This window comes from Homo sapiens, chromosome 17 (genome assembly GCF_000001405.40).
Source record: "Homo sapiens chromosome 17, GRCh38.p14 Primary Assembly".
In the NCBI taxonomy this organism is placed as follows: Eukaryota; Metazoa; Chordata; class Mammalia; order Primates; family Hominidae; genus Homo; species Homo sapiens.
Genome location: NC_000017.11, coordinates 79677305 through 79690719, shown reverse-complemented (window position 1 = coordinate 79690719; position 13415 = coordinate 79677305). Strand labels below are relative to the sequence as shown.

The following is a 13415-nucleotide window of genomic DNA, read 5'->3' as shown; positions in this document are numbered from 1 at the left end:
ACTGGGAACTCCAGCTCCTGGGCCCCAGGCCAGCTCCTCTTCTTTCGGTCTCCAGGCTGGACAGCAGAGTAGGTGTCGGCAAACTTCGGCACCAGAGTCCAGCTTTGCAGGCTCCATGCAGCCCAGCGGCCCCACCTCAGTCCAAATCCACCCCATGATGTGTGTGAGGCAGCCTGGCTCGTAGATCCAGCCAGAAAACAGGACACCAAACACTATAGGACACAGGGCACCGGGGAGGGATGATGGACTGGGCTGCCGGTGCGGCTTGGTGGGGTCCAGGACAGTGGCTGAGGGAGGAGTGAGTGTTGTCCGGGGCTCTCTGTGCTCTGTGAGGTTTCCTGTGAGATTTGGGGGTACCTGAGATGCTGGCTTATGCAGAGCAGTGGGAGGAGGAGGTCGTGGGGGCTAAGATTCAAAGGTCAGAGGCCATGCACAGATTCTGGTGGTGGAGGTGGTGCTGGGGTTAAGACCCCCAGTCTCCCCCATTGTTTTCGAGGGTTGTGGGGGTCTGTTGCTGAGAGAGGGGACTGTTCCTCTGTAGTGATATTGATATGAGAGGCCACATGAATGTCTTTGAACAGGAGGACAAGGAGCCCCTTTGTCGGGGTCGTGGGAGGGAGGAAGGCGTCTTGGGGAGACCCAGCAGGTATGACCTGAGTATGTCAGATCCAGCGGTGGCTTTTTTTTTTTAATTAGATCTCAAATTTAATTGTGAATGTAAAATTTCCATTAATTCTTGTCACATTTTATTCTTAACCAACTATTAACTGCAGTTCTAGTCCATAAACAGTTATGACTGACGCACACATCCATTTTTCATTACTTATTTAGAAAAACCTAAATTATTCATTTATTTATATATTTATTTATACTCAGCACAGCATCACATAGCGAGGAAGAAAACAGGATCTGGGCTAGTTTTGCTGCCATTTCTCTCTTCCTTGCAAGGACAGCGCAAGGCGGGACCTTTGGGTCTGCTTTGGGGGGTTTATTCCTTGGGGAGGAGGGCTGAGGGTCACCAGATTCAGGGGCACAGGACTTGACCGGACACAGACCGAGGTGGGAAACACTAGCGGAAATCTGGCAGATGCCGGCTTTGGAGAATGAACCCAAGAAGGGAAGTGTGAGCTCCACATGGTCTGCAGATGCCGGCTTTGGAGAATGAACCCAAGAAGCGAAGTATGACCTTGACATAACCCCATCAGCGTGATTTCACCTGGGAGCTGGGGAGAGGCTCCCAGGTGTTTTTCTCCTCCTGACACCAAATGCACAGTGTCTTTTTTTTTTTTTTTAGACGGAGGCTTGCTTGCTCTGTCACCAGGCTGGAGTTCCATATGCGATCTCAGCTCACTGCAACCTCCACCTCCCAGGTTCAAGTGATTCTCTTGCCTCAACCTCCTGAGTAGCTGGGTCTACGGGCACGCACCACCACACCTGGCTAATTTTTGTACTTTTAGTAGAGATGGGGTTTCACCATGTTGGCCAGGATGGTCTCGATCTCTTGACCTCGTGATCTGCCCGCCTAAGCCTCCCAAAGTGCTGGGATTGCAGGCATGAGCCACCGCACCTGGCCAGCTGTGTCTCTTTTAATAGGAGAGTGGGCTTCCTCCCTACTCTCAACACCAGCTGGGTGTTCTCTGATTCAATTCAACTTCGCCACTACCTGGAGGTAGTGTCACACTGCACAGGCTGAAGCTTTTGCTCCAAGACTGCCCCTTCTCTAGACACCAGTTGTGAGTTTTGGCCACCTACACTTCTTTTTTTTTTTTGAGATGGAGTCTCATTCTGTCGCCCAGGCTAGAGTGCGGTGGCGCGATCTCAGCTCACTGCCAGCTCCGCCTCCCGGGTTCACGCCATTCTCCTGCCTCAGCCTCCCGAGTAGCTGGGACTACAGGTGCCCACCACCATGCCCGGCTAATTTTTTGTATTTTTTTTTTTTTTTTTTTTTAGTAGAGATGGGGTTTCACTGTGTTAGCCAGGATGGTCTTGATCTCCTGACCTCATGATCCGCCTGCCTTGGCCTCCCAAAGTGCTGGGATTACAGGCGTGAGCCACCGTGCCTGGCCTTGGCCACCTACACTTCTGACTGGCTTTACACCGGGTTTCCCACAGCCTCCTTCCTGGGTTTGAGAATTTCCTAGAACAGCTCACAGAACTCAGGAAGGTGCTTTCTCAGCTTATTATAAAGGATGCAAAAGAACGGGCCAGGTGTGGTGGCTCACATCTATAATCCCAGCATTTTGGGAGGCCGAGGAGGGTGAATTGCTTGGGGCGAGGAGTTCGAGACCAGCCTGGGCGACATGGTGAAACCCCGTCTATACTAAAAATACAAAAATTAGCCCGTCATGGTGGTGTGTGCCTGTAATTCCAGCTGCTCAGGAGGCTGAGGCAGGAGTATCACTTGAATCCGGGAGGCAGAGGTTGCAGTAAACCAAGATCGTGTCACTGTACTCCAGCCTGGGCGATAGAACGAGACTCCATCTAAAAAAAAAAAAAGAAAAATATTTAATTCAGTAAAGATCATAGTCATTACATGTTGGCATAAATATTTATGATGAAATGTATTTTTTCCAAAGCAAAAAAAAAAGTGGCATGGTTTTATATTTCTGCAAATCTCCTTAACTTCTGGCTTGATAGAAGACAGCTGGAATCTCGTAGCTGCTCCCCCAGGTGGCTTTTCCTCTTTGATACTGCACTGACACTTCACAAGTACCGGTTTCTCAAGGGTTAGTTGCAATATGGAAACGGAAAGCGTATTAATGAATGTTTTTGCTCTGTTATCCTAAAATCCCCTGGTCTGTCTTGCACTTTGAATGGATCTTTTAGCCACATATGATCTTGTATCATTGTGCCTCAGTGGTCTGGAAAAAAATGTACTACCATATCAAAACAATTTTTGCTCTGCAGTATCAAAAATCATACTTGTTAAAACCATCTCTGTTCTCATCAGCAAAGTCTGGAACTATTGGGAGGCTGTCAAGCTCTCTGTGGTGGATAACATTTCCCCAAATTCTAATTTCTCTTTGAAAGAGTAGATTTTGGCAAGGCGTGGTGGCTCATGCTTGTAATCCCAGCACTTTGGGCAGCCAAGGTGGGCGGATCACTTGAGGTCAGGGGTTCGAGACCAGCCTGGCCAACATGGTGAAACCCTGTCTCTACTAACAATACAAAAATTAGCTGGGTGTGGTGGTGGGCACCTGTAATCCCAGCTACTTGGGAGGCTGAAGTGGGAGAATTGCTTGAACCTGGGGAGCGGAGGTTGCAGTGAGTTGAGATCATGCCACTGCACTCCAGCCTGGGTGACAGATGGAGACTCTGTCTCAAAAAAAAAAAAAAAAAAAAAAAGAATAGATTTTATCATTGATAACAAAGACCATCATTTCTTTTCCCTGGAGTGACAGGCTCACTTTGTTCAACTCCCTTTTCCCTCTGCAAATGCGTGCGGCAAGGAGTGCGGTGGCTGAGGCCCTGACCCTGTCAGCCCACAGTCCTTCTGCCATTGCGTTTGGGCCGACAGCGAGAGTCCGCTCGGTGAAAGCGGCAAATTGGCTCAGTGTTAAAAATGCATGTAACTTTGACCTTGAGAACCCCTGGAGGGCTCTCAGGGACCCTCGGTGGTCCCCAGGCACACTTTGGAGCCCTCTGGCTTGAGGCAATGGGCTTGACAGCCCACTCCCCTGCTAAGGGGCTTCCTGCTCCAGGCTGGGTAGCTGAGCCTGAGGCCTGGGAGCCGCCTTCCTTGGGGGGCCCTGCAGCGTGGATGACCTGTGCTTTGTCTTCAGGGGCATTTAGGGTGAGGGGTTTTAGGCACATCCTGTACTCCGGCTCTCAGCCTTGCCGTGCTCTGAAGCCTTTGTGCCTGGTCATCGTGGTCTGGCCACTGTCTGCCACCTTTGGTCTCGCTTTGTTCAGTGTCTTCACAGCCCTCGGCGTCCTCGGATACCCCCCTGTGGCTTCCTGACCTCCCTGTCCTCCCCGGCCAGGACCCTTGGCTTAGGACCTCTGCTTGCCCACGTCCGAGGGTGCTTCCCAGGACCCTGTCCTCTGCCTGTCCCTCTGCTTAGCCAGCCTGTCGCTTTGTCCACCACGGAGTGATGATGGTGCCTGTGTCCATGTCCCCGTACTCTCTGGACGAGTCCCCCGGCAGCCCTGCCAGCGCCGGGAATCGACATGCACAGAACTCAGTCCCTCCGTGGCTCTTCCATTCCTGCCTCTGGAGTGCCCCTGCCCTCCTGTGCCCACACCTGGGTACCATCCTGACCCCTCACCTCCACTTTCAGGGGCCCCCCCAGTTCTCGTCTTCCCATCCTTGGCCCTGACCACTGTGGTCTCTCACAGGGCTACGGTCCTAGTCCCCGTTGGGCCCCTGCCCCTGGCTGTGTGCCCCCCTCTGTCTCTGCCCAGTTTCCCACCCACGGAGTCAGTCCTGGTGCTTCCTGCTCAAAGCTCCCCCGTGCTCCCAGTGGATAGAATCCAGATTCCTCAGCAAGGTGGACAGGCTCTCCCTGACTCTTCCCCAGGGTCCCCTTTGGCCCCGTCTAGGCCACATCCTCCAGCTCCCTATGCCTCATGCCACAGCCTTACCCAGGCTCCTCAGCTTGCACCAGCCTCTCCATCCCTTTCTACTTAGTGGACGCCTATGTAGCCTCCAAAATGCACCTCCTCCAGGAAGTCTTCCCCGCCTTCTCCTGCCTCGGTGAGGTGGGCTCTGCACGCTGGGTCTGCCTGTGTTGGGGCCTGGCCCACATGGTCTCCTGGGCCTGTCTGTGAAGAGCCATGGACAGTGGGGAGGTGCCATTGATCTCTGTAGAAACAGAGCCAAAAGCTGGGTCTGTCCTGAGGGGACAGGAGGGATGGCCGGTAGAATGGATGACCAGATCATTCACGGGCTGGGCCATCTGGAGACAGGGGAATGGACAGATTGTCCCCATCCCTTTGTCCTTCCTTAAGATTTTTCGCTCAGATTTATTAAGGTGCGATTTCTATAGAGTGAAACCCACTGTGCCCTAGGCTTTTAAAAATCCAATTGTCATCAATAGTCAACAGAGACATTGATAAATCCCTCTGTACCCTCTGTAGACATGTACCCTCTGTCCATCATTCAATAGCTGTTAACCCAGGGACAGACAGACGGAGCTTCCTTCTATTCCAGTGTTTGGTAAAAGTTGGTGCCTCTGTCCCCTGAGAAGCAGAAGCTGAACCCTCTGGGCCGAGCAGTTTCACACACTCACACTGCTGACGGCCTGGCTCCATCCTTTGTCCTCACGTTGGATGAGGAGGTGGCATTCCTCCTGTGTCCGTCACAGTGAGTGGCTTTGAAGGCTGGTTTGGGAGCCACATCAGGAGGCCACGTGGGCCTGGGCTGGAACCAGTGGGAGAGCTGGGATCCCTCCCCTGGCTGGACCTTGGCAGATAGCCCGGGGCAGCCTCGGGGCTCTGTGGAGGCTCTGGGGTGTCATCTGGGGGTTCAGCCTAGACAGCTGGAAGGCAGAGCTTGAGGCACAGAGTCCCACACCTTGGGGAGGGGCAGGGAAGGAGGTGGAGCCCACTCCAGGCTGAGTGATTCCTCCAGGCGGGACTGACGGCCAGGCTCTCAGGATCCCCCCCAACCCCAGACCCTGGAAAGGCCATCAGAGAGGCAAGTGGGGGAAGAATTGGCCCAAGGGCATCCTCCTCCCTCTGGGCAGAGGTTAGCTGCTCTGGCTTGTGCATTGGTGGGTGCTGAGTGGGGTTCTAGGGTGTCCCTCCTGGGGCAGGCGGAGGGAGGCACTGAAAGAGACCTGGCTGCCACTGTGTGGCCCCCACACACCTGGGGAAATGTGGGGCAGCGAGGGGCACTGTGGAGAGAGGGTTTGCTTTTCTGAGGATCCTGGGGGTCGCCCCTCCTTGCCCACTGGGCCCACTGGGGCAGCAGGGAGCCCACCCAAAGCTGTGGGTTAAGTCGGAGTGAGGACCAGAGGGAAGGAAGAGGCGACTGGACAAGGAAGGGGGAAGGAAGCCAGGTCCCCTCGGGGTGGCTCAGCCATGCGGCGTCCTCCACCAGCCAGCGGCACAATGGACGTTTCCAACCAGCGGCTGCGTCCACACATCCCGGACCAGCCCGGGTCAGCACAGCGCAGTGCAGTCCACACGCGTTTTTAATGAGCCCCCAGGTGGGGGGACCACAGGTATGCTTTGCCCCTCACATCCTGGGGATGCTCACGTGCCGGGTGTCAGACCCAGACCAGTCACTTCTGTGGGACGAGGACAGAGCATCAGAAGATGGTAGGGTGTGGTGGGGGGAAGGGCACAGCCCCCAACAGCTGACCGGGGGGGTGTTGAGAACAAGCCTTCCCTAGCTGGAGCCTGCCTGGCCTCTCCTCCCTCGGCCCCCTGTCCTGTTGCGTTAGCTTCTTGCCTTCATTTGCGTTCTTTTGGAGCATGATGAAATATGCAGAGACATTTACGTATAAATAATGAATAAGCAAAGTGTGTCCTGTGTCCACCACCGGCCGGAGGCACAGATGGCTGGCGTGGCCTTCTGGGTCCTGCCCGCCTCCCAGTTTCATTCCCTGCCTTCTCCCTCTTCCTCCAAATGGGAACAGCATCCTGAGTGTGGTGTTTTCTATTCTTTGCTTTTATAGTTTTATCTGCTGTTTCTGACTCTAAATCACATGTGGTTCAGTTGTATATTTCTGAGCTTTATTTGGATGGAATTCCAGTGTGTAATTCTTCTTGCTTTTTTTTTTTTTTTTGACTCTGTGTCGTTTCTGAGATGGGCAAATGTGCAGATGTGTGGCTGTGGCCCACTTTTTCAGTGCTGTGTGGAATTCCAGCGTCTGAATGCACAGCAGCCCTCGGTTCTCCAGGTGGAGGATGTGATTTTAATCAGTTTGAGCATCACTGCTGTGAATGTCCACGTCTCCTGGTGCACATGGGCAAGACTTCTAAAACATTTGCCAAGAAGGAGAGTTGTCGGGTCTCAGGGAAGCACATTTTCAGCTTCGTCAGGTGAGGCCGAACGGTTTCCTAAGTGGCTGCAGCGGTGACAAGTCCACCAATCGTGTCTGATGGATCCTGAACCCACATCCTGGCCAATACCAGATATTACCCCATTTACCCCATTAAAGATGGTTTGAGTATTGGATGCCTATGCAGTGGTTTCTCATTGCGGCTTCAATGTCTGTATCTCTGGGTGCTAATGAGGTTGAATACGGATCCACATTTTCATCGGCTAGACACTTCCTTGTATGAAATGCCTTTTTTTGGTCTTTTGTTTATTTTCCGATTGTCTCGTGTGTTTTTTAACATTGATTTTTATGAGTCCTAAATGCATTCTGAATACAAACTTTATCAGTTATGCATGCCGCAACCATCTCTGGGTTTCTGACTTGTTTTTCCACTTTCTGTTTGTTTTGTATGTGTTTTTTTTTTTTTTTTTTTTGAGACAGAGTCTTGCTCTGTCAGTTTACAGGCGTGAGCCACCGTGCCCAGCCTTTTGTTGTTGTTGTTCTTGTTGTTTTTTGAGATGGAGTCTTGCTCTGTCGCCCAGGCTGGAGTGCAGTGGCATGATCTCGGCTCACTGCAAGCTCCGCCTCTCGGGTTCACGCCATTCTCCTGCCTCAGCCTCCCGAGTAGCTGGGACTACAGGCGCCTGCCACCTTGCCCGGCTAATTTTTTGTATTTTTAGTAGAGACGGGGTTTCACCGTGTTCGCCAGGATGATCTCGATCTCCTGACCTCGTGATCTGCCCGCCTTGGCCTCCCAAAGTGCTGGGATTACAGGCATGAGCCACCGTGCCCAGCCTTTGTAGTTGTTTTGTATTGTTTTTTGGTTTGAGATGGAGTCATGTTCAGTCGCCCAGGCTGGAGTGCAGTGGCACGATCTCCATTCACTGCAGCCTCCGCCTCCTGGGTGCAAGTGATTCTCCTGCCTCAGCCTCCCAAGTAGCTGGGATTACAGGCGCCCACCACCACGCCCAGCTAATTTTTTTTTTCTTTTTTAGTAGAGACAGGGTTTCATCATGTTGGCCAGGCTGGTCTCGAACTCCTGACCTCAGATTATCCGCCTGCCTCAGCCTCCCAAAGCACTGGGATTGCAAGTGTGAGCCACCCCGCCTGGCCTTGAATAGGTTTTTAAAAAATTTAAGCAGTTACATTTTCTCAATTATTTCTTTTATGGCTTGTGTGATTTTTAAAAAAGACCTTCTTATGGACCACAAGATCATAAATCATTTCTTTGAAAAAATTTTAAACTTGTGGGGGGTATCACATTTTATTTTAGAGTATAGATAACCTGACTCCAAGCACCGTTTCCCGCGATGCCGCCTGCAGCGTGAACTTGGTCATGACCAAGCTCACATCAGTGCATGGGGCTGCCCTGGCTCTGTTCTGTCCCATGGGTCTCTCTGCCAGTCCAGTGCTGCCTACTGCCGCTGTCTTTAGTGTGTCTTTATAGTGTCTTAGGGGCTGGCAGGGCAGTGCCCTCACCCCCTGGTGCTCTTCGTCAGGGCGTCTCTGCTATGTCTGGGCCTTCAGTGGTCTGCATGGGTCTTTGGGCTCACCCTCTCCAGTTCCACAGTTCCTTTCCATGTGTAGAAATGTGTGTGGCTCACCTTGGGCCAGGAGGTGAGGGTTGGAGGCAACACTGGCTGAGCTCTGCCTCCGGGAGGCGACTGACCCCTGCGGCATCTGGGCAGCCCCAGGGCATCTCTGGGCCCAGAGCCACCATGCTTTCTGAATGAGCACCTGTTGTCTGGGCACGAGGGCAGAACGGAGTTTCCTTCCTTCTCCTCACTTTCAGCTTTCTACCTCTTTCCTTCCTCCTTCAACCCTGTCTCCTCTTTCTGGTTGGATTTCTGTTTTCACGTTTCAGCAGGTCCTTTCTCCTTCTCTCTCCCTCTTTCCCTCTCTCCCTCTTTCTCTCTGTGTCTCTCTCCTTCTCTCTGTGTCTCTCTCCTCCTGACCCCTCTCTTCCTCCCTCCCTTCCTCTCTCTCCCCACTCCTTTCTGGCTCACATGTCCTGGGTTCCTGCTTGAAGCAGAACACTGCGTTTAGCCTTAGATCTGAGCTTTGCAAACCCCAGGAATGTTCTCATCCCCTCTCAGGAGCTGTGCATTCCTGGGGCCTGTTGAGTGCCGTGGGGGTCCTCAGCTGCAGAGCTTCAGTCAGGGTCTCATGTGTCTCCTGTCCAAAGTCAGTCCTGCCAACTGAGCCGGCGGTGCTTGGGAAACCCCAATCTGTGATTTCTGAAGGAGCCACAATGACTCGGTGAGGGGCTGGCCAGGTGGAAGCCACAGGGTTGGAGGCAAACCTGGTTCTCTGCTTTTCGGCTGTCCCAGAAACAAGCCCACCTCCCTCTCAGGACAGACATCGGCAAACAGAAGCCAACCAGCGCCTGCTTCCTGCTGCCAGCAGAACTCCTGGGTGTGTCCACGACTGGATGAGATGAGGCGGCTCCTGGACCTGCCCTGGAGATGCTGAGTCTCATTCCCAGCCACCAGGGGTCCCGCTGTCTCCCCTCTGAGCAGCTTGTGGGTGGCCATGGCAGGACTCCCCCAGAGGCTGGTGCACCCCTCTGGGCCCAGGCGAGCGGGTGCGGAGGAGCCGCTGGGCTCTGGCCTCTGCCTCTCCCTCCACCCCAAGCAGAGTCACCGGGAAGGGGCTGAAGGATCTCCTTGTTCATGGAGGGTGACCCATTTGTCCTAGTTTGCCTGGGACTCTCCTGACTTGAGTACTGAAAGTCCTGCATCCCAGGTTGCCCCTTGGTCCTGGGTAAACTGGGATGGTGGCCACCCTGGGGTTACATCAGCATGGTGCAATGGAAGCAATGCCTTGTCATTATTCATTAATTCATTCGACAAATGTTTCTTTGATGCTCAACCTGGGTCAGTAACGCCCTCAGCATCTCACCTGTCTGCTTTAATGTGTCCACACCCAGCGCTCGTCCCGCTTTCAGCTCTCAGAGCCCCCTGCCTGGGGCAGGGTGGGATTCTGATGGACCTGCCATGCCTGCCAACCCCCAGATGGCCCTGCAGGGGAGAAGTGAAGCCACGTTCTCACCAGCACAGGATTTCGGGGCCCTTCCTGTCCCTGGGTCTTAACCAGGACTTTAAAGTTTTGATGATTTATGCCCTGTTAGAGAGTGTGGGTCAGTTCCCACTCTAGAAAAGTCTGGCATCAGTGAGCAAGCAGAGGGGATAACAGAGTGGCAACCATAGCAACAGAGCTGGAGGTGTCTCTGCAGAGGCTAGGGCAGGGCAGGGCAGGGCAGAGAACAGCTGGTCCCCTTGTCCCTGCCTTGGGCCTGGATGGGGCCAGCACATCAAAGCTTCCCCAACCTGTGGGGGAAGCGCACTCCCTTGTTGAGCTGTGGGGGTTGGGGTGGGTATGCTGGGGTGAACCTGGCCCTTCTGAGTGATAGAAAGCTGGGTGCGCGAGGAGATTACAGAGTGTGTGCTGAGCATCTACTATGTGACAGGGATCATGCAAGGGGTTGTGCAGGTAAACAGGACCACGAGAGGCCACAGAACTGTAGGCATCGGCAACCCAGCATATGCAGCACATTGCTGGGCCTGTGCCGGGGGAGGTCCATAGCATGTTCGAGACTCAGAGGCAGGAGGGGGTCTGGCTGCTCAGGGGGCCCGGCAGTGCAGCCCGGGAAGTGGGTTCAAGCTGGTGCGATTCCTAGCAAGGATTCCCGGGCTTTCTCCCACTGCAGGCAGAGTGTACATCCCCTTCCCTACTGACACTGGGCTCCAGGGCCTGACTGTTGACCAGCGGGATGGCAGTGGACAAGATGCACACAGAGCTCACGTGGCTGGCTTGGTTCTTGAGTTCCCAGTGACAGATGCCTGGAGAAAAGCAGGCCTCAGGCAGCCACTGCTCCTTCAGCCTGGGCTTCAGAATGAACACACGAGGGACAGGCCTGGGCCCAGCCTGGTCTGGAGGAAGCTCTCCTGGAACGCAGCTGCAGCAGAGTGGTGGGTGGAGCCCGCTCTAACCAGCAGAGCTCGGACCCGCCTGCAGGCTCGCTAGATAGGAATGAATACCTTCCCCAGTGACATGGCGGGAGTTTTCTTACCTAGTGTTAACTCTGCAGTTGCTGACTAATACACTGCATCAAGAGGCTGGGGAGCTTTAGAAGTAGATGTGGCAGTTGAGGGGACTCAGGGGAGTGGGGAAGGGCATGAGACCTGCAAAGGGGCAGCAGTGAGAGGTGTGGACTGAGTGTGCAGGGTTCAAAGTGGAGGTGAGGGGGTTCAAGATGGAGGGGTTCAAGGTGGAGGGGGCTCAGGGAGGGGGTGGAGAGGGTTCAAGCTGGAGGGGTTCAAGGAGTGGGTGGAGGGGATTCAAGGACATGGAGGAGAGATTCCAGGTCACACGGAGGTGACGGAGGTGGACTGGCACTCGAGCCAGGCTGGGGAAGTCCGCGATGGTTTCAGAGGAGACACCCTACCCCAGGGCACAGACCTCTTCCCTTATTACCGACCTTTCACCTGAGCTTGTTCCTAAATTGCCACAGCACCTGGGAAAGAAACACGCCTTCAGAGGTAGCTGCAGGTGCCCCTAGCTCCTCACCAGAACCCTGAGTGCCCACTGGAGAGGCCAGCTCCCGGGGCACGCGCTGAGTCATTCCAGGCTCCAAGCTTTAACTTGGCCTTGGGTGCCTTGGCCCTGGACTTGCTCTGCATGGTCCCAGCCAAGCGGTCCCCGGAGCCCCTGCCTCCTGGATCCCCAGGCTAAGGAGCTGCTGGGCCCAGAGGCAGCCGCAGGATCAATGCATTGCTCAGAGGAAAGCAGGAGGGACCTGGAACTTGGAAGTGGCCTGTGGAGCCATATGGGGAGGGGAAGCCAGCAGGGACGCACTTGGATCGTGGTCCGGGCAAGTATTTGGGGTCAGTGGGCTGGCCGAGGGTGGGAGGCTGCAGGGAGGCCTGCCTGGGAAAATGGCATTGCTCTGTTAGGAAAAGGCTGGGGTTGAGGAAGGAGGGGAAGCAGCATCTTTTATGAAGGGATCCAACCTGAGCATCATTAATCCAACAAAAACAACCATCACAGTGAAAGGGTTCCAAGTAGACACAGCACACATCCCCATCAACATGTTAATGAGGGCTCATTAACTGCAAGTGAGCCCTGCACAGCCCGGGGAGGCGGCAGCCGCAGGGAGGACCTCTCTGGAACCTTCTGTCTGCCCCTGAGGACTTGAACAAGCGCCCATCTGCTGGGACTCCCCTGACGCCCAGCCTTCTGCTCAGGAGCCCTGCGGGTCCCCTCCTGTTAGGTCTTGTTTTGGTGGCTTAGTTTCTGTGGGTGCTGGGGTCTGGACGGCTATCATGCAGGGGGCACCCGTCACCACGTAAAATCCGCAGGAACGTTTGCTGAAGCGGCAGTAAGGAATCGGGACCCTTGTGAGCTGTTCAGAGCAGCCATTCCTGGGGCACGGCAAGGCCTGTAAGCCATGCCTCTTGCTAAGCCATGTTCCTGGGTGAAGGCAACATCTATTTAGAGGGGAAATAGAAAGAACACAGTCTTTCTGCCCTTTCCATTTAGATATTAGCTATAAGATTAACTGCACTCAAAGCACAACTAAACAAGAAACCGATGCAGCCGGCACAGGCTGCTTTCTAATGATTATTATTGCTGTTAGTGCCACGAAACCTGTAATTGTCACAGGTGCACTCCAGAGGCTTTTGGGCAGCCTGGAAGGTGCTGGCAACAGCCACTCACATGCAGGTCGGCAAAGCGGTGCTGCCGGGAGGCCCACAGAGCTGGCTTGGTGCCGGCTTCAGGTGAAGGAGGGAATTTTGCCAACCTCCCTGGGATTGTGCTCTGGCCTTCAAGGCCACTGGGTGAGAGGAGGAGAGGGGTCAGGAGGGCCCTGCCCCAGCTCTGCCAACCCACGGCAGCCCTCCGTGGGGAACTGCCCACCGGTGCCTGGCCAGGTGATAGGAGGCGTAAGGGCTGGCCCCACGGTGGCAAGGGCGCTGGTGCCATTTGCTCTCAGAGCTTTCTCGTGGGCCCAGGCTGAGGCTGGCCTCCTGCTGAGGCCGTGCCTGTTCAGCCTCTCCCCTGCCCTACATGGGTCCCCTCCCTCACTCCACTCCTGGGAACCCTGTCCTTGGAAATTCCACCGAACAAGAATCCCCAGCTTGGGGGCTCCTTCTAGGGCGTCCCACTGAAGACACCTGCCGGTACCACTCATAAGGTCTGTGATATGGTTTGGATCTGTGTCCCCACCCAAATCTCCTGTCAAATTGTAATCCCCAATGTTGGAAGAGGGGCCTGGTGGGAGGTGATCGGGTCATGTGTTGTGGGTATTTCCCCCTTGCTGTTTGCGTGACAGTGAGTGAGTTCTCATGAGACCTAGTTGTTTAAAAGTGTGTAGCGTGTCCCCTCCTCTCTCTTCCTCCTGCTCCAGCCATGTTGACGTGCCCT

At 54.4% G+C, this 13415-nt stretch overlaps 2 annotated features.

Moving 5' to 3' along the window:
* Positions 5841-6586: an enhancer, noted in NCBI's record as "H3K4me1 hESC enhancer chr17:77657995-77658740 (GRCh37/hg19 assembly coordinates)". NCBI's record gives its function as "activates a minimal SCP1, AML or CMV promoter by ChIP-STARR-seq in naive H9 embryonic stem cells {active_cell/tissue: H9 hESC(naive)}" and the evidence as "EXISTENCE:reporter gene assay evidence [ECO:0000049][PMID:30033119]".
* Positions 8040-9030: an enhancer, noted in NCBI's record as "H3K4me1 hESC enhancer chr17:77655553-77656543 (GRCh37/hg19 assembly coordinates)". NCBI's record gives its function as "activates a minimal SCP1, AML or CMV promoter by ChIP-STARR-seq in naive H9 embryonic stem cells {active_cell/tissue: H9 hESC(naive)}" and the evidence as "EXISTENCE:reporter gene assay evidence [ECO:0000049][PMID:30033119]".